General features: G+C 41.0%; 1 protein-coding gene and 1 long non-coding RNA gene across 33 annotated transcripts in view; one reads left to right on the top strand and one right to left on the bottom strand.

Moving 5' to 3' along the window:
* The window catches only part of ENTPD1 (ectonucleoside triphosphate diphosphohydrolase 1), a 183,082-nt gene that overhangs the window by 14,931 nt on the left and 148,500 nt on the right, over positions 1–19,651 (bottom strand). For 26 of the 32 annotated variants that reach the window (NM_001440933.1, XM_047426024.1, XM_011540371.3 and 23 more), the window contains 4 exons: positions 17,701–17,860; positions 16,740–16,979; positions 14,630–14,890; positions 1,754–1,867 (listed from right to left, as the gene is read on the bottom strand). In NM_001440933.1, the coding sequence (NP_001427862.1) occupies positions 1,754–1,867; positions 14,630–14,890; positions 16,740–16,979; positions 17,701–17,860 (775 nt within the window). Of the gene's footprint in view, positions 1–1,753; positions 1,868–10,871; positions 12,926–14,629; positions 14,891–15,599; positions 16,254–16,739; positions 16,980–17,700; positions 17,861–19,651 lie in introns of those variants that run through there. The other 6 variants (NM_001440936.1, NM_001164179.2, NR_199793.1 and 3 more) reach the window with 5 other exon arrangements.
* ENTPD1-AS1 (ENTPD1 antisense RNA 1) overlaps positions 1–19,651 on the top strand; it is a 337,030-nt gene that overhangs the window by 227,900 nt on the left and 89,479 nt on the right. Inside the window, exon 4 of the long non-coding RNA NR_038444.1 lies at positions 14,851–14,944. This is a non-coding gene — a long non-coding RNA (ENTPD1 antisense RNA 1). The remainder of the gene's footprint in view (positions 1–14,850; positions 14,945–19,651) is intronic.

Below are 19,651 nucleotides of genomic sequence, written 5' to 3'. Positions count from 1 at the left end.
ACAATGTACTTGACAAAACTATGCTTTCTACCTGGGTGGACGATGCAGCTTGGGAAAGTGAACCCTGGGTCATAACATCCACCTCAATGCTGTAGGCTCTGGGTGAAGACAGGGGTCTAACCCTGCAACCCCTTCCCCAAATGCTTCAGGAATTCTCCCAAATGCAGGCCCTTCTTAGCTTACTTCCAGGGCCTCTGAACAACTCCCCACATGACTTACCTGAGCAGAACTACAGGTCTAAATATAAGCATTCCCAGCCTAACATAGTCTTATGAAGTAAAACATGAGATGTGGATAAGAGAGGAAACCTGACAGAACTTTTTTTTTTTTTTTAATTTTTGAGATGGAGTCCTGCTCTGTCACCCAGGCTGGAGTGCAGTGGCACAATCTCAGCTCACTGCAAGCTCCGCCTCCTGGGTTCATGCCATTCTCCTGCTTCAGCCTCCCAAGTAGCTGGGACTACAGGTGCCCACCACCATGCCCGGCTAATTTTTTTTGTATTTTTAGTAGAGACGGGGTTTCACCATGTTAGCCAGGATGAGAACTTTTAATCTAAACCAGAAGTAATTTTTTTTCAAAGAGCAGCCTAAATCTGCTTCCTCAGCAGCCACATGTAGGCCTGGTCTCAAATTGCCTCCACTCTAACATGCTTATCTTCCTCCACAGATCACCGCCAGATGCAAAAAACCACCGCTAAGCATTTTGTAAAATGCTGAGACATATTTGAGCAACTCTTGATGAAGGCCCTGACCACATTTCTTTCATGTTCTAGACAAAATACCTGGAGAGAATGGCAAGCTTCCAGGCTCTTGCTCAGCCTTTCTTCCCCCTTGTCAGTGCAGTCAGGGATAAGCATCTATTTTTAATTAATAGTATTTCTTAAGAATGAAAACACCATTCACTTTTGCAACTGTCAACTTAAGTACAGCTGCTGTTTTGAGCTATGTCTTTTATAATCGGAGTGGATTCCATACCTCTCATCCCTGGATTTTCATCTTGTGGCACTGGATGTTGAATGGCTCAGTGCCTCTGATAAGAAAAAAATTGTGCTTCAAGTTTATGAATAAGTAGGAGATATCTTGGACCTGGGAAATGGAGAGGATTTTACCACAATTGTGTCTGTGTCAGACTCTGCAAATTGCCTGCTTTCTTGCTAACAGAACTCTGATTTGGGGACTGAAGGAGGAGAGTGGGCCACAATGTGCCCAGCTCGAGGCAGTGGCTCATTATAGGTCTAAGCTCTAAGCTGGTCACAAAATTCTGCACCTGGTTTTCCCAGTCAATCCTGGCCATTGAGATATAAGGGGAAGACTGCTGAGTCTGGGATAGCTTTTGCTTTCCTGTAAAAAGGAACAGATGTATCTGGTTCGACCCCTTTTCTGACCTTTCTGAACATGGCTGTGATGCCTGAAGCCACAGCCACCATCTTGTGTCCATGAAGAAACAGGCACAACAGCAGAGCTGAAGAAGCAATGGCTGAGATAGAGCAGAGCTGCTGACCCCATGCCAGCAGCTGCCTACTGCCAGACTTTGTATTAGGTGAGAAAAAAATAAGATCTTATTTAAGCCACTGGATGTCAAGTTATCAAGGAATGCTGATAAATTCATTCCTGAGTCCACCATCTGGTCTTCTCTAACACATTTGCTGGATCTTGGTCAAACCAGCAGGAGTTTCAGAGCAGACTCACATCCTCTGCATCAGCAACGACACAGGGCACTCATGCTGTTAGAGCTGCTGTGCCTAGTCACTTACCTCCTCCCAAGGCTGAGCACAGAACTTTTTCATCATCTCAGTCACCTTTTCCTGAGAGACTTTCTCTGATGTCAAGTTTAAAAACTTCATCACAAAGTAAAAAGCTGAAAATGCCTACAAGAGAAAATCGCAGTTTTAGGCTGTGTTCCACACAGAGGGATGCCAACTTGCTCTCCTAAAGGCCGCATCCCTTGTGCAGGTGCCTGGAAAGTTCTGCTGAGTAAATTAACACACAAAGTGATATTGCAGGCCCAAGAGCTGTTTCCTTCCTGGAAGAGGAGCCACTTTGCTGCTGACACACATTTCTAAGCCACCTGGCAGTTACTTTTCTCCATAATTGTAATAGAAGAGTCAGGGAGAAAGAAAAATGGGGAAAGAGAATAAGAAAAGAGAGAGAAAGGGGTTGCAAAAATCCCATTTAAAAATACTATGTACTACATATGAATGTTTAATAAATATAAACAACTGGAAAATTCTATACAACACTATTGAGTTATCTCTGAGTAGCGAAATTGGTTTTTTCCCCTTGTGCTTATTTTTTGCCTATTTTCTATAATGAATATGTACTGCTTTCCTTTAAAAAATCCATCTTTATTCAACAAATATTTATTACAGGTCTACTATGGGCTAGGTACTATTTTAGACACAACTGAAATTTTTTAAAAATCATTATCATCATCAAACATAAGAACTATAAAAAAAGTTAAAAGTTCAAATCAGTAAAACAAAAAAAAATTCTATTAAAATGACCTCTAAATTCTACTACTTAGTGACAACTGCTATTCAATATAGTATATAGGCTTCTAGCATCTTTCTCATTCTATGATACATATAAAATGTTTATTATACTTCATACCACCCTATAACTGCCTTTTTACTCTTTTAATAGAGCATAATTTAAAGGGGAAAAAATAATTGAGCAGAGCTTGCTAGATGAGGCAATTCAAACCCCAACTCCAGTGCTTTTCCTCTTTCCTACCCAAAAAGGTGCCAGTTTTTAGGGGGAAATCATGTTGGATATTAAAGGAGCACATCATTTGTTCATTCAGCAAACACACTGAGCTCTGTTTGCTAGACACTGTGCTGAGTCATAGTTTACTGAGATTATTTGAGGGGGGCATAAAGTTTTCCCTGTGGCAAACACGGTTAGATTGGGGATTATAATTTGCCTTCTGTAAAATTACTTAACTAGAAGTGAATGTAGAAAGCAAATGTGATTCCCAAAGTGTAATTCGCATAGGCAAAGAAACAGAGTTTTGGTAGGCAAAGAAACAGGAGGTAGCAGAGATCCCATTGGGGGCTCACTGTGACTCAGAGATGAGGAAAAATATCCTCCACCAGGCAATTTCCTGCTGCAAACAGGCCGTATGCCTCAGTTCCAATTGACATAAACCCAGTGCCAGCTTCTTAAAAGTTGCATTTTTCAATATTCTTATACATATATATCTAATAACATAAGTGTGAGCATATTAGTCCTTTTTAATAAATTTTCCTTTTTTTGGCTTGATTTTTTTCTTCCACTTTCAGTCCCAACAGGAGTTCATACTAACAACTTAATATGAAGCCTTCCATTTTTCCCATGCTCCTATAATCATATACAAACACACACATATAAAGGGTTTGTTTTAGAAATGAAATTTTAAACAGATTCTTCATCTTGCTTTTCTTAACAATCCTTTATAGAAATCCCTCCAAGTCAGCTGGGGCCACTCTAATGGCCACATAAGAGTCTACGGTGTAGATGTATCTTAATTTATTCAACAACTCTCTACTGGTAGATATTCTCCTGATTTCCAGCAATTTCCCCTATGAGCAATGGTATAAATACATTTAGCCTCTGAACTGGTATGCTCATTCCTCTAGGAAGTCGAGCTCTGCAGAAACTGGAGAGCCTCCATATGCCCTGAACTCAGGAATTCCAGCACTTCCATTATCATTGTATCCCAGGTGCAGAAAAAGATCGTGGTATGGTCCTATTTCTGCCCTCTTAACCCAAGCCACTATCATCTCGTGTGGATACTGCAATGGCCTCTTAATTAGTCTCCACATTAGCTTTCTGGTTCTAGTCCAACCCATCCTACAAACAGCAGTCACAGGAATCTTTTAAAAACAAATCTGATCATATCACTCCCCTGCTTAAAACCTTTGGTGGCTCCTAATTATACTTAGAATAAAAATCAAATCCTACAAGGTCGCTGAAAACCAGGCATGTTCTAGCCCTGCCCCCATGCCCACCATACCCAGCACCCTGGCTTTCAATCCCCGCCAAGCCTTTCCTCCCCTAGAACCTGTACACTTGCTATTCCCTCTGCTGGAATTCCCTGGACTTCCACTTCCCCTCCTTAGAGGGGTCTCTAGGACCCTCTGTTATCTGCTTTCACAGGACTGTCTCTTTCCTCCCAGCAGTTACTTTTTTTTTTTTTTTTGAGATGGAGTCTTGCTCTGTCGCCCAGGCTGGAGTGCAGTGGCGCGATCTCGGCTCACTGCAAGCTCTGCGTCCGGGTTCACGCCATTCTCCTGCCTCAGCCTCCCGAGTAGCTGGGATTACAGGCGCCTGCCACCACGCCCGGCTAATTTGTATTTTTAGTAGAGACGGGGTTTCACCGCATTAGCCAGGATGGTCTCAATCTCCTAACCTCGTGATCCGCCCGCGTCGGCCTCCCAAAGTGCTGGGATTACAGGCGTAAGCCACCGCGACCTGCCCCAGCAGTTCCTTTTGATTTGCAGCAGTCGGATTTGCCTTTGTTTGTGTTTCTGGTCTCATGTCTGCCTGCTTTCTAGAATGCCAACTCTGTGATGGCAGGCGCGGAATTTCCCTTGTTCTTGGTTGAATCTGCCCTCACTAACATGGCACTTGGCATATGTGAGTGCTCCGTAAATAAGTGGCAGAAAACTGCTCTCTCTCTAGTTCCTAAGGCACAACAATCTCTGTTAAATCTGGATAAATTTATATATGCTTGGATTCGCATAGCTAATGCCTGGAAAAGTTCTTCCTGTTTATTACAACTATTCCTCATTTTTCCTCTAGTGAACTGATGGTGGGGTGAGAGGGAGAAGAGACCTTTTAGTCTTTACTTTAAGCTTTTTGTACAGTTTTTTTATAATGAGCATGTAATAAAGCACTAATAAATATTTCCTTAAATTGTTACATTTCAAAAGACTTTCTGAAATTAATCCTAGAGCTTATTCTATTAGCAAAAGTCTCAATGAGGTAAGCATCTAGAAACTCTCTTGCTTTTGCTAAGTAGTGACATTTGCTTTATAAAGTAAGTACAAATTATAAAAAACAGATCAACAAACAACAAATTTCTATGAGGTAGATTTAGCAACATATTGAGCCTTCAGTAGGATACATAGCGATCAAGTCAGCAGGGCCTCCTGGTCCATGCCACCTCCAACCCCCCAAGACACTACATGCCATCGGCTCTTGAAAAATTTCCCATGACCTTCAGAAGCCTCCCTCTGGCATCTCAGAATCTTGCTCTTATTTATTTCTCAAAACATGAAGTTTCCCTATTCATTTCTTTTCCTTCAAAATAGAAATGTCTTTAAAATGCTGGCTTATTAAAAAAAAACACGTTTATTATATAGAATTTAAATAATACAAGTTAAAAATGGAAGTCCCTCCTTAATCTAACCATCCTCTAGAGATGTACACTTTTTAACAATTTACTGTTTAATATCTATAGCAAATAGATATGTAATAGAAAATAGTGAATACATATTTATATAATTATATATGTGTATATGTATATATATAACCTAAATATGATGATACTAGACAAATTTTTTATAATACTGCTTTGTTTTACTTAATACATCATGTGTCCTTGCTGCAAATGCCATGATTTCATTCCTTTTTATGGCTGAGTAGTATTCCATAGTGTGTGTATATACATTTATGTGTGTGTATATATATATATATATATATGCATACATATATATATTTACCACATTTTCTTTGTCCACTTGTTGATTGATGGGCATTTGGACTGGTTCCATATTTTTGCAACTGCGAATTGTGTTGCTGTGAACATGTGTGTGCAAGTGTCTTTTTCATACAATGACTTATTTTCCTCTGGGTAGATATCCAGTAGTGGGATTGCTGGATCAAACAGTAGTTCTACTTTTAGTTCCTTAAGGAGTCTCTATACTGTTTTCCATAGTGGTTGTACTGGTTTACATTCCCACCAGCAGTGCAAAAGTGTTCCCTTTACACCACATCCATGCCAACATCTATTATTTTTTGATTTTTAAATTATGACCATTCTTGCAGGAGAGTAAGGTAGTGTCTCACTGTGGTTTTAATTTGCATTTCCCTGATAATTAGTGATGTTGAGCATTTTTTCATGTTTGTTGGCCATTTGTATATCTTCTTTTAAGAATGGTCTAGCGAAATGAATGAATTGAAGTGAGAAGGGAAGTTTAGAGAAAAAAGAATAAAGAGAAACGGACAAAGCCTCCCAGAAATATGGGATTATGTGAAAAGACCAAATCTACGTCTGATTGGTGTACCTGAAAGTGACGGGGAGAATGGAACCAAGTTGGAAAACACTCTGCGGGATATTATCCAGGAGAACTTCCCCAATCTAGCAAGGCAAGCCAACATTCAAATTAAGGAAATACAGAGAACGCCACAAAGATACTCCTCGAGAAGAGCAACTCCAAGACACATAATTATCAGATTCACCAAAGTTGAAATGAAGGAAAAAATGTTAAGGGCAGCCAGAGAGAAAGGTCGGGTTACCCACAAAGGGAAGCCCATCAGACTAACAGCAGACCTTTTGGCAGAAACTCTATAAGCCAGAAGAGAGTGGTAGCCAATATTCAACATTCTTAAAGAAAAGAATTTTCAACCCAGAATTTCATGTCCAGCCAACCTAAGCTTCATAAGTGAAGGAGAAATAAAATACTTTACAGACAAGCAAACACTGAGAGATTCTGTCACCACCAGGCCTGCCCTAAAAGAGCTCCTGAAGGAAGCACTAAACATGGAAAGGAACAACTGGTACCAGCCACTGCAAAAACATGCCAAATTGTAAAGACCATCAAGGCTAGGAAGAAACTGCATCAACTAACGAGCAAAATAACCAGCTAACATCATAATGACAGGATCAAATTCACACATAACAATATTAACCTTAAATGTAAATGGGCTAAATGCTCCAATTAAAAGACACAGACTGGCAAATTGGATAAAGAGTCAAGACCCATCAGTGTGCTGTATTCAGGAAACCCATCTCGTGTGCAGAGACACACATAGGCTTAAATAAAGGGATGGAGGAAGATCTATCAAGCAAATAGAAAACAAAAAAAGGCAGGGGTTGCAATCCTAGTCTCAGATAAAACAGACTTTAAACCAACAAAGATCAAAAGAGACAAAGAAGGCCATTACATAATGGTAAAGGGATCAATTCAACAAGAAGAGCTAACTATCCTAAATATATATGCACCCAATACAGGAGCACCCAAATTCATAAAGCAAGTCCTTAGTGACCCACAAAGAGACTTAGACTCCCACACAATAATAATGGGAGACTTTAACACCCCACTGTCAACATTAGACAGATCAATGAGACAGAAAGTTAACAAGGATATCCAGGAATTGAACTCAGCTCTGCACCAAGTGGACCTAATAGATAGACATCTACAGAACTCTCCACCCCTAATCAACAGAATATACATTCTTTTCAGCGCCACACCACACTTATTCCAAAATTGACCACATAGTTGGAAGTAAAGCACTCCTCAGCAAATGTAAAAGAACAGAAATTATAACAAACTGTCTCTCAGACCACAGTGCAATCAAACTAGAACTCAGGATTAAGAAACTCACACAAAACTGCTCAACTACATGGAAACTGAACAACCTGCTCCTGAATGACTACTGGGTACGTAACGAAATGAAGGCAGAAATAAAGATGTTCTTTGAAACCAACGAGAACAAAGACACAACATACCAGAATCTCTGGGACACATTCAAAGCAGTATGTAGAGGGAAATTTATGGCACTAAATGCCCACAAGAGAAAGCAGGAAAGATCTAAAATTGACAACCTAACATCACAATTAAAAGAACTAGAGAAGCAAGAGCAAACATATTCAAAAGCTAGCAGAAGGCAAGAAATAACTAAGATCACAGCAGAACTGAAGGAAATAGAGACACAAAAAGCCCTTCAACAAATCAGTGAATCCAGGAGCTGGTTTTTTGAAAAGATCAACAAAATTGATAGACTGCTAGCAAGACTAATAAAGAAGAAAACAGGGAAGAATCAAACAGATGCAATAAAAAATGGTAAAGGGGATATCACCACCGATCCCACAGAAATACAAACTACCATCAGAGAATACTATAAACACCTCTATGCAAATAAACTAGAAAATCTAGAAGAAATAGATAAATTCCTCGACACACACACCCTCCCAAGACTAAACGAGGAAGAAGTTGAATCTCTGAATAGACCAATAACAGGCTCTGAAATTGAGGCAATAATTAATAGCTTACCAACCAAAAAAAGTCCAGGACCAGATGGATTCACAGCCGAATTCTACCAGAGATACAAGGAGAAGCTGGTACCATTCCTTCTGAAACTATTCCAATCAATAGAAAAAGAGGGAATCTGCCCTAACTCATTTTATGAGGCCAGCATCATCCTGATACCAAAGCTTGGCAGAGACACAACAAAAAAAGAGAATTTTAGACCAATATCCTTGATGAACATTGATGCAAAAATCCTCAATAAAATACTGGCAAACCGAATCCAGCAGCACATCAAAAAGCTTATCCACCATGATGAAGTGGGCTTCATCCCTGGGATGGAAGGCTGGATCAACATACGAAAATCAATAAACGTAATCCAGCATATAAACAGAACCAAAGACAAAAGCCACATGATTATCTCAATAGATGCAGAAAAGGCCTTTGACAAAATTCAACAACTCTTCATGCTAAAAACTCTCAATAAATTAGGTAATGATGGGACATATCTCAAAATAATAAGAGCTATCTATGACAAACCCACAGCCAATATCATACTGAATGGGCAAAAACTGGAAGCATTCCCTTTGAAAACTGGCACAAGACAGGGCTACCCTCTCTCACCACTCCTATTCAACATAGTGTTGGAAGTTCTGGCCAGGGCAATCAGGCAGGAGAAGGAAATAAAGGGCATTCAATTAGGAAAAGAGGAAGTCAAATTGTCCCTGTTTGCAGATGACATGATTGTATGTCTAGAAAACCCCATCATCTCAGCCCAAAATCTCCTTAAGCTGATAAACAACTTCAGCAAAGTCTCAGGATACAAAATCAATGTGCAAAAACCACAAGCGTTCTTATACACCAATAACAGACAAACAGAGAGCCAAATTATGAGTGAACTCCCATTCACAATTGCTTCAAAGAGAATAAAATACCTGGGAGTCCAACTTACAAGGGATGTGAAGGACCTCTTCAAGGAGAACTACAAACCACTGCTCAATGAAATAAAAGAGGATACAAACAAATGGAAGAACATTTCATGCTCATGGGTAGGAAGAATCAATGTCATGAAAATGGCCATACTGCCCAAGGTAATTTATAGATTCAATGCCATCCCCATCAAGCTACCAATAACTTTCTTCACAGAATTGGAAAAAAATACTTTAAAGTTCATATGGAACCAAAAAAGAGCCTGCATTGCCAAGTCAATCCTAAGCCAAAAGAACAAAGCTGAAGGCATCACGCTACCTGACTTCAAACTATACTACAAGGCTACAGTAACCAAAACAGCATGATACTGGTACCAAAACAGAGATACAGACCAATGGAACAGAACAGAGCCCTCAGAAATAATGCCACATATCTACAACTATCCGATCTTTGACAAACCTGACAAAAACAAACAATGGGGAAAGGATTCCCTATTTAATAAATGGTGCTGGGAAAACTGGCTAGCCATACGTAGAAAGCTGAAACTGGATCCCTTCCTTACACCTTAGACAAAAATTAATTCAAGATGGATTAAAGACTTACATGTTAGACCCAAAACCATAAAAACCCTAGAAGAAAACCTAGGCAATACTATTCAGGACATGGGCATGGGCAAAGACTTCATGTCTAATACACCAAAAGCAATGGCAACAAAAGCCAAAATTGACAAATGGGATCTAATTAAACTAAAGAGCTTCTGCACAGCAAAAGAAACTACCATCAGAGTGAACAGGCAACCTACAGAATGGGAGAAAATTTTTGCAACCTAATCATCTGACAAAGGGCTAATATCCAGAATCTAAAATGAACTCAAACAAATTTACAAGAAAAAAACAAACAACCCCATCACAAAGTGGGCGAAGGACCTGAATAGACACTTCTCAAAAGAAGACATTTTTGCAGCCAACAGATACATGAAAAAATGCTCATCATCACTGGCCATCAGAGAAATGCAAATCAAAACCACAATGAGATACCATCTCACACCAGTTAGAATGGCAATCATTAAAAAGTCAGGAAACGACAGGTGCTGGAGAGGATGTGGAGAAATAGGAACACTTTTACACTGTTGGTGGGACTGTAAACTAGTTCAACCATTATGGAAGACAGTGTGGCGATTCCTCAAGGATCTAGAACTAGAAATACCATTTGACCCAGCCATCCCATTACTGGGTATATACCCAAAGGATTATAAATCATGCTGCTATAAAGACACATGCACACGTATGTTTACTGCGGCACTATTCACAATAGCAAAGACTTGGAACCAACCCAAATGTCAATCAATGATAGACTGGATTAAGAAAATGTGGCACATATACACCATGGAATACTATGCAGCCATAAAAAATGATGAGTTCATGTCCTTTGCAGGGACATGGATGGAGCTGGAAACCATCATTCTCAGCAAACTATCGCAGGGACAAAAAAACAAACACTGCATGTTCTCACTCATAGGTGGGAATTGAACAATGAGAACACATGGACACAGGAAGGGGAACATCACACACCGGGGACTGTCGTGGGGTGGGGGGAGGGGGGAGGGATAGCATTAGGAGATATACCTAATGTAAATGACGAGTTAATGGGTGCAGCACACCAACATGGCGTATGTATACATATCTAACAAACCTGCATGTTGTGTACATGTACCCTAGAACTTAAAGTATAATTAAAAAAAAAAGATCATCCAACCTAGATTAATGTATTGTTAAGTTTTTGGGGATTTTATTGGTGTTATTTTCTCTCCTTTGTTGAACTTGTGAATATTTATATATTTAGTACTTTTCAAAAAAAATTAAAAAAATAAAATTCATGGTCTGAAACCACAATTACTTTTGTACCAACAAAAATATAAATATAAATAAATATAAATATAAATATACACACATTTATGTATACATATGTAAACAAATGTGTTTTTAATGTTCTTTAATTCCAGTTTCCTATTGAACTTGTTTCTTCCCTTTCTTATTTATATAAACAGCACAATGTGATCTTTAAAAATAATTTCTAAATTACCTCATAAGTAATTCCCTACAGATGTTCCCTCTTTCTTGTTAGTGTTTCTAATTTGCCCACAACATTGGATTCTGTTTAGCAACCAAGGCTACAGTGTAGCCAGACTGACTAAAGCAATGACAATTTTTAATACCATATTTACCAACTAAGAATCAGATCATCAGTGCTGAATGCAACTGTGGCAAAAACTCCCTCCCCAACAAATTCTCTGTGGCTTGAGAACACCCAGGCTAACTAGTTCTGGAAAGAATGGGAATGAAACTGGATTTCTGTGTTGCACATAGCTATGCTTCAAGAGGCAGGACTCGATAACAGGAACTCCCTGCAGGAAGGACAGCATAGAATGAAGACTGCTAGGATAAAGACCTAACCTTTTTAAGGGTGGTGCTGGGGTATGCCCGCTTTTTGCTATTTACAGTGGTGTGCTGGAGCTGACTCTTTCTTATGTACTCACAAGAGCTGATTCTTAAAATTTCCAGATTTTTGTGAGCCAGTTGATATGTTGATATAGCTTGAAATAGGCTGTGGTAGAACTACTTACACCATGGAAACTGGTAAGTGCTACAAATCAGCTCCCCATTCCCCGAGAGTTGGTTGTTGGACATTTCCCAGACCATCACTGCTTGTCTGACTCACAACTATCAATGAGGTAGATATTACTGTCCCCATTGTACAGATGAGGAAACAGACAAAAAAACTTTAGGTCTTAGGGATACATTACAGAGGGCATAAAACAAAACAAAACAAAAAACATCAAAAATCTGAAGCAGAATGAAACTGCCAATGCAGAAATCGGGACAGGACAGTCCTGACCCTGAGGGCTGTATCTAGAGGAGAAAGATCCTACATAGAGGCAGGCAATGCGATAGTCTCAGGAACTGCCAAACTGAGGTTCAGAAGGCTGGGAGAACAATCTCAATGAGGAACTAAGGGATCAAATAGAAAAGCCTCCAGGGGGAGTTCAAGACTCCTCCACCCTTTTCCAGCCCCTATCTCTCCCTGCTTTGGTTGGATGAATCACATTCAAAGGCAAGAAATTTCAGTCCCCTAAGGAGGAAAGGTTTGCTCAAGCTTGAAGGCAGGAATTGGCCATGTTTCCCAGGAAGTGAAACTTTCTGAGAAGTTACAAACTCAAGACACAAGGGTATGTTCATTGACTTTAGATTTACATCCTCGCAGTGACTGGAATGAAAAAGGCCCTTGGCCAAGGTGGCACCCTCCTTCCTCTTCAAGGAGTTCAATCTAAGGCAAGGGCCCTGGCCCAAAAAAAAGTCCAAGGTGAAGAGCCAGTGCCAGCTCAGCCACAGGGCATTCAAGTGAGGTTCAGTTTCTTCTGAATTTGGGTTTGCAGCCAACTAATAACCAAATATTACTCTGCCAGTCATTGTCTTGTCATGTATTTCCCTCAGGAACCTTGAGGGGAGGGTAGACTGTGGTTTGGACCATGGTTAAGGTAAGTCTGGATCTATGGCATTACCTATTGTTTTCTCAGAGACCAAGAAAATGAAGAGCTCATACAGTTCATAAGAAGCCAGAAGTAGAATCAGATCTGATTACGACAGTGCCTATGTTCTCTTCTAGAGCTTTGTCTTGGGCCAAGCCAGGTGACCTTAGGAGAAACTCTCTTGCTGGGGTCCTGGAGGGGAGGAGCTGAACCTCCCTTCTTACATGCTGATCTGTTTTCTGAAAAGGGAGAAAGCATGAAGGCAGGCAAAAGCCTTGTTTCTTTGAATATCTTGAATGAATAAATGAGATAATATACATATAGTGCATAGTCAATAATTGGCATTTGACAGATGGTAGCTAATTTTTCAATATGCTACTAAACTATGATTATAATAATGCTCAGCCTCTGGGACCAAAATAAGAAATTTGAAGACTGAGTCAATTAAGAGCCATCTCTTCTGCCTCTGCTCAAATATTTTATCTTATTCTGGAGTTATTAAGAAAATAAGGAATTTGGAGCTAGGATTCAAATAATCCCCCAACTCTTCAAAACATAATGACAATGATGTTATCTTCAATGTTTCTTTGGGATTTCCTGAGTTTCTACTTCCTAAATGTCTTTATAGAGGAAAACCCTCAGCTGTGTCATCTAACTGCTGCTCCTCCTCCTTCTAACATTTGAGAAGCCACCTATGGCAAACTCTAACAGGCACATACCCCATAGCTAGCCCCCTTCTTCCTCGCTTATGAAGTCCTGATTTTACCCAAGTAGAGGAAAGCAATATCCTCAAAAACGACTCCTCAGGTGATAAACAATAATTAGTCTAAACTAACTATATTAATCCATTTCTCTTTATCACAGATTGGTTTAGAGTATATATTTCACCAAGTTCTGGCCAGCAGGATCTGAAAAGATGTCAGTTGGCACTTCTGCAAAATGTGTGTGCAAGAGATGTGTGCAAGGAAAACCTTAAACATCTTTCCTGCTTTGGCTTTGCATGTGAAAGAAAATATGATGCTTGGATGTCTGATTCCAAAATGGCGGCATGGAAGCAAGCTGGCTTCATGCCCCCCAACCACAGACAACCAGAAACAAATGTACAGCACTGAGATTATCACCAGCAATATCCCAGAAATCAAATATGAAGATGAGACAGTTCCTGGGGCCACAAAGAAGTGAAAAAACTCCAAGCAGACGGGAAGATAATCAAACTTCCACATCCATGTCACCTCTCCCCCGATTCTGCCTGACACCAAGCTTGTGGAAAATTTCCCCCAAACTCACAATTTGTACACTGGAAAAAGTGAGATCAAGGTGGACAATCAGCTTCCCCATCATCCTGGGTTCCCTAGCAGGAAACCTGTCTTTGTCTTAACCCACAGTAAGCATCGTGACATCCTGAAGGGAGATATCCCTGGGGACAGGCAGAGACAAGGAAGAGGCAGATTTAGCATCCCCAGCCCTGGGAAGTCTGCTCTGTCACTTGGCCAAAGGAGATGCCAAATCAGAGTGGCTGTTCTATGGCTGTAGGAGGTCTGTCCCACAAGGTCCCCTGGGCACAACCCCCTAGTCAGTTTTCCCACACTGCTGGGGCTAACCTCTTTGGGACCTCCCCCATTCCGGAAAGGCAGTACTCTTATTGTTGACTAGAAAGGAGATGAACCTGGGCTTAAGGTGCTGCCTAGAGCCAAAAAGGAGGCAGTGACCTAGTGATATGGTGCTTGGAGCAGTAACATACCTTAGCACAAAAAGATCACAACGATAGTGGAAAAAACTGATCCCAAGTTCTGACATAGTTGAGCTGAAGAACCAACCCCTAATCATCTACCTCAAGACATTATGTAAGAGAAAAATGCATCCTATTATTTAAATCTTTTGTAGGCACATATTCTATAACTTGTAAACAAGACATCCTATACCTCATCATTTCACAAACTTACCCCAAAATCCCCCTGGAGTGGTGGCAAGAAAATCCCATTGAAGGCACACTGGGAGTAAGGGCAGTAACTGGTGTTGAAGAGCTCCAGGATGCTTTGATGGCATTGTTGATAGTTTCCAATACCCTGGATTTCAAACTGCTGGAATGGAAGAGTCATCTCAAATCTCTTGGTGCAGGGGGTCTTGTAAAGGTCACTTACGTTCACTACCTTCTTATATCCAGGATGAAAGCATGGGTCCCTGAGAATTTCATTACTTGCAACCTGAATGGAAAAATCACTTGAAAGCATCATGTGTGAACGCTTTGGATACAAAAGGTACAGTCTGACTTAATCAATATGTAGGCACTGTACAACATCCCACCACTTGGTATTGGAATCAATATGTCCTGCCCTGCCTTTTTACCCTTAGGAATAAATATGAAAAATGGATTTGTGTAACAGGCACCAGAAGTGGTATCAGATATAAATGTATTTGGCTAGTCAAAGAATGCTGATGTAGTTAAAACTGGGCCCAGAAATGCCATTAGTTTGAAATGTCCCTGAGTGCTTAGTCCTAATCATCTAGGTCAGGAGCAAATTCACAAGGAAACTCTCAAGGTTGTCAAAAATTTGGGCCTGGGAGTAGTTCTCCAGGAGCCTACATAATTTAAAAATTATTAAAAAAATTTTTTTTCTTCTTCAAGCATTCTCCTATCCAAGAAAAATAATTTTTTTTTTTGAGATGGAGTCTTGCTCTGTCGCCCAGGCTGGAGTAAAATGGCGCAATCTCAGCTCACTGCAACCTCAGCCTCCCAGGTTCAAGCGATTCTCCTGCCTCAGACTCCTTAGTAGCTGGAATTACAGGTGTGTGCCACCACACCCGGCTAATTTTTTGTATTTTTAGTAGAGACGGGGTGTCGCCATGTTGGTCAGGCTGGTCTCGAACTCCGGACCTCAAGTGATCCACCCGCCTCGGCCTCCCAAAGTGCTGGGATTACAGGTGTGAGCCACCACGCCTGGCCCAAAAAAAAGTAATTTCTAACCCACAACCTACTAGGGAAGAAAGGAGGCTGCTGTGGATAAGAAGGTTAGTGGAGCTTTGAGGCTCAGTGGATGTCTCTCAGCGCCCCCTACTCCCAGGACCATCTTATTGGTAGTGGTTTTGAAAACCAGAGAGAATGCTTTGGAGGAGAGCAGAGAACTTGTTATCCTTTCAGTGGAGACAGGGAACAGCTGGATATGACATCCTGGCTTTGTGTTTGCTTGTCAGGGTGTGCCTGGTACTCACATGATGTTGAGTATGTTTAACTTTTGTTTTCTTTTTCTTTTTCTTTTCTTTTTTTTCTTTTTGAGATGGAGTCTCGCTCTGTGGCCCAGGCTGGAGTGTAGTGGCACAATCTCGGCTCACTGCAACCTCCACCTCCCAGTTCAAGTGATTCTCCTTTCTCAGCCTCCCAAGTAGCTGGGATTACAGGTATGTGCCACCATGCCCAGCTAATTTTTTTTCTTTTTTTGTATTTTTAGTAGAGATGGGGTTTCACCATGTTGGCCAGGCTGGTCTCCAACTCCTGACCTCAAGTGATCCACCCACCTCAGCCTCCCAAAGTGTGTTTAACTTTTCTTGTCTTCAAAATGCAGAAGGCATCTGGGGACAAGATGACAAGATTTGAAGTGTCAATTGATACATTTTGTGTTTCTCCTGAAGTGTTTTTTTTTTTTTCCTTCTCCTCTCCAGGTCATTTCTAACAACTCTGTTTTTTTGTAGTTTGTAGGAAAGGGAGCTTTAAAAAGTGGTCTAAAAGAGCTTATAAATTGCAATTCCCCCTCCAACAAACAATATTCTACCACATAATTTTCATTATCAACCCCACGAGGGGGAGAAATTATTTCCTGAGAGAAGATCTCAGTTGTGTCTGTGGAGATAACGCAGTAAACAAACATGGGAGGGGATGTCTGACTGAAACAATTTATAGGGGTCAACCAGATGTAGTTCAATATCCTGCCTAAAAAGGTTTGGAAAGTACAATAACCAAGTTCAGACAAACTACTGAATTTGAAACAGAAAACAACAGGATGTGGGGGCTGGAGGTGCAGATGTGAAGGGGGCAGGTCTGGATTGAGTTATACTTGCCTGAATGTCCTTGGCCAGTTTCTGCCAGAGTGCCTGATCCTTCCCATAGCACAAGAAGCTATGTGTGTAGACATTGTAGTCCTTGCCATAGAGGCGAAATTGCAGAGCATTATCTGGGGACTCGATAGTCTGGTTTTGGGGTACAAAAGTGACTTGTGTAGAGGCTCCCCCAAGGTCCAAAGCTCCAAAGGTTTCCTGATTATTGGTTTCATATGGGACTATGCTGAACCACCTTGTTTTCTGAAAGACAGTACAGTTACCAGTGCTAGAAGTCTCTGGACACCCTGCTTTTCATAGTATCTATTGGAGTCAGGGATTTCCTAAGGCAAAGAAACAGGGGCATAAAGGTGAGGCAAAGCTCACTAGAGGCTCCTGATCTACAACAGATTATCAGCAAGAAAAGAGGGGCTTCAAAGACATAGCTCAGACTGCCGGACATAGAAGCAGTGTAACTGGTGTTTAAAAACAAGAGGTCTGAGGCCAGACACATTCAAGTTCAAATTCTCACTCAGTCGCTTGTTAGCTGTACAGCCATGGGCAGACTAATTACCCTCTCTAGGCATCGATATGGGGCTCTAAAATGGGGATGATGTAGTACCTCATAGTGTTGTTCTAAGGATAAAATCAGAGAAAACATGAAAAGTGCTGAGCACAGCGGGAGACACATAGCAGAAGGCAAATGTTAGCTATTCTAATTTTTAATGATAAATTTTTAATTTCCTTTATGCCTCCCTAAGGTAAAGACATGTCCTTATTCTCCCAATAGTAGAAGGTCTTGTAAGAGAATTATACCTCTGGTGACCCTTACAAATGTGAGAGTAAATTCATTCATCCAGTCATCCATCCATCCATCCATCTATCATTCATTCATTCATTCTGGCTAGCGACCCAAGTACTGCCTGAGATAGCAATGGCATTGGCCTCCAGAGAGCCACCTCCATGGATGCTGTGAGATATTCACCTGACTGAATTTGCCCAGCAGATAGTTGATAGTAATCCAGCCATAGGCACCTTCCTCTTGGCCAGTAATGATCCTGGCACCCTGGAAGTCAAAGGGGTAGTTGCTGAGGCTCCTCTCCACCACATCCAGAACCCTGTCTGCCAACTCTTCACTTTCCATCCTGTACAAAGGAAGAGCTGAGGTTATCATTTTTGTTTTAATAATTATATTACATTACCCATTTCAGCTACAGCATCCACACAGTGCTACTAAGAAGTGAACCATAATGCCCTGGAATAAATGAAGAGATGGGGATCTTCGCACATAGCTGTCCAAGAAACCCCTTTTTTGGATGAGGCAGAATTAATATTTTGTTCATCTCTCTCCAAATCCACATCCTTCCAATCCTTTCATAGGTTGGTTTTCCTTAAAATACCACTTTTGTTCTGAAGTTCCCTGGCTCAAAAAGTTATCAAAGGCTCTTAAAATTACTGTGGTGGTGATAGCTGGGTATGGTTTGATGACCATACCTGAAGCTGATGTGTGCTATATTAACCACTGTGGGTGGCTCCTAGCTGGTTACATGGCCAGACTCTGCTCCAGGTTTTTAATTAGGGTTCTAGTAGAAACCAGGTGGCAAATGACCTGGAATAGATATCCAATCTCCTCTGCTGCCAGACTGGGAAAAATCTTCCTCATATTACAGCTCAGTTCTTGGGTCTGTTTGAGACCTTGAGACCTAAAGAAGGAATCTTCCAGGGTTGTCTTAATGAAGATGGGATGCAATTGCTTCCAAGATCTAGGCTACCCAACACTGGGAGTCTCTGAGCGAGAGGATGCTACCTTCCAGCTGGCATTAGGCCCCTGTCATCTCTCATCTAAATGGCGTCCACACCTACTAACTGCCTTCCTTTTATCCCCAGCTTTTCTCCCCTCCAATCCATCTTCTCTACCAGTGTCACCAGTTGTGTAGCATCCTTTAATGGCTTCCTACTATCTCTAAGATAAACTCCAAACTTCCTAGCATGGCCCCATAGGGCACTTTGTGACCTGGACCCTTCCTTTTCAGAATCCCACTCAGAATCCTGGCTCCACCACTTCCCAGGTGTGTGACCTTGGGTGAGTTACTTAACATTTGTAAGCCACAGCTTCCTTATCTTGTTAATAATTGTTAATTTCATAGAGTTGTTATGACAGTGCAATTAAGTGCTTAGCGTAGTGCTAAGAACATAGGACGGGCTCAATAAATACGAGCTGCTACTATTATTATCATTATTATTTTACACTACTTACCTATCTTCTATCTATGCAGAACTACTTACAGTCCTCTGAATATGCCTCTCACACTTCCCTACCTTTGCACATCCGGTAGAACACAAGCTCCATGAAGTCAGAGACTTTGTCCTGTTCACTGTTGTATCCTCAGTACTTAGAACAGTGCCTGACATATAATAGGTGCTGAATAAACATCAGTTACTGAATGCATGCTGTCTGTTCTGCTGATAAAGCTGTTCCCCGATCCTCCAACTCATTTTTCATGATTCAGTTCAGGCATCCCTTCCTCTAAGTCTTCCTGACCTCCTCTCACCCTGGGCAGGGCCAAATGTGCTCCCATAGCAGCTCTGAGCACTCCTCTATTAAAACACTGATCACCCTGCATTGAAACTGATTTCCTTGAGGGTTGAGTTTTCATATTCTGGATAGAGCAGGCACTATATGCTGAATGAATGAACAAGTGAACAAATAATTCACACAGGTATCAAGTGATATAAAGATGTGCTAGTTGTGAATATTTATGACCTGGGATGTCTATGAGTCTCCTCTTATCCTCTTCCTCCCAGATATTGAATAGTTAAATCTGTAGCCCCAAACCCCAGAGTATACGGGCCCAGTCTTTCTCTCCCTGTGCCCCTTCCCCTTTGAATCCCCCATAGGGAGATGCACAAGGGGGCTTTTTTTTTTAACATACATA

Source organism: Homo sapiens, chromosome 10, assembly GCF_000001405.40.
Source record: "Homo sapiens chromosome 10, GRCh38.p14 Primary Assembly".
Lineage (NCBI taxonomy): Eukaryota > Metazoa > Chordata > Mammalia > Primates > Hominidae > Homo > Homo sapiens.
This window is presented reverse-complemented; position numbering and strand designations above follow the sequence as displayed.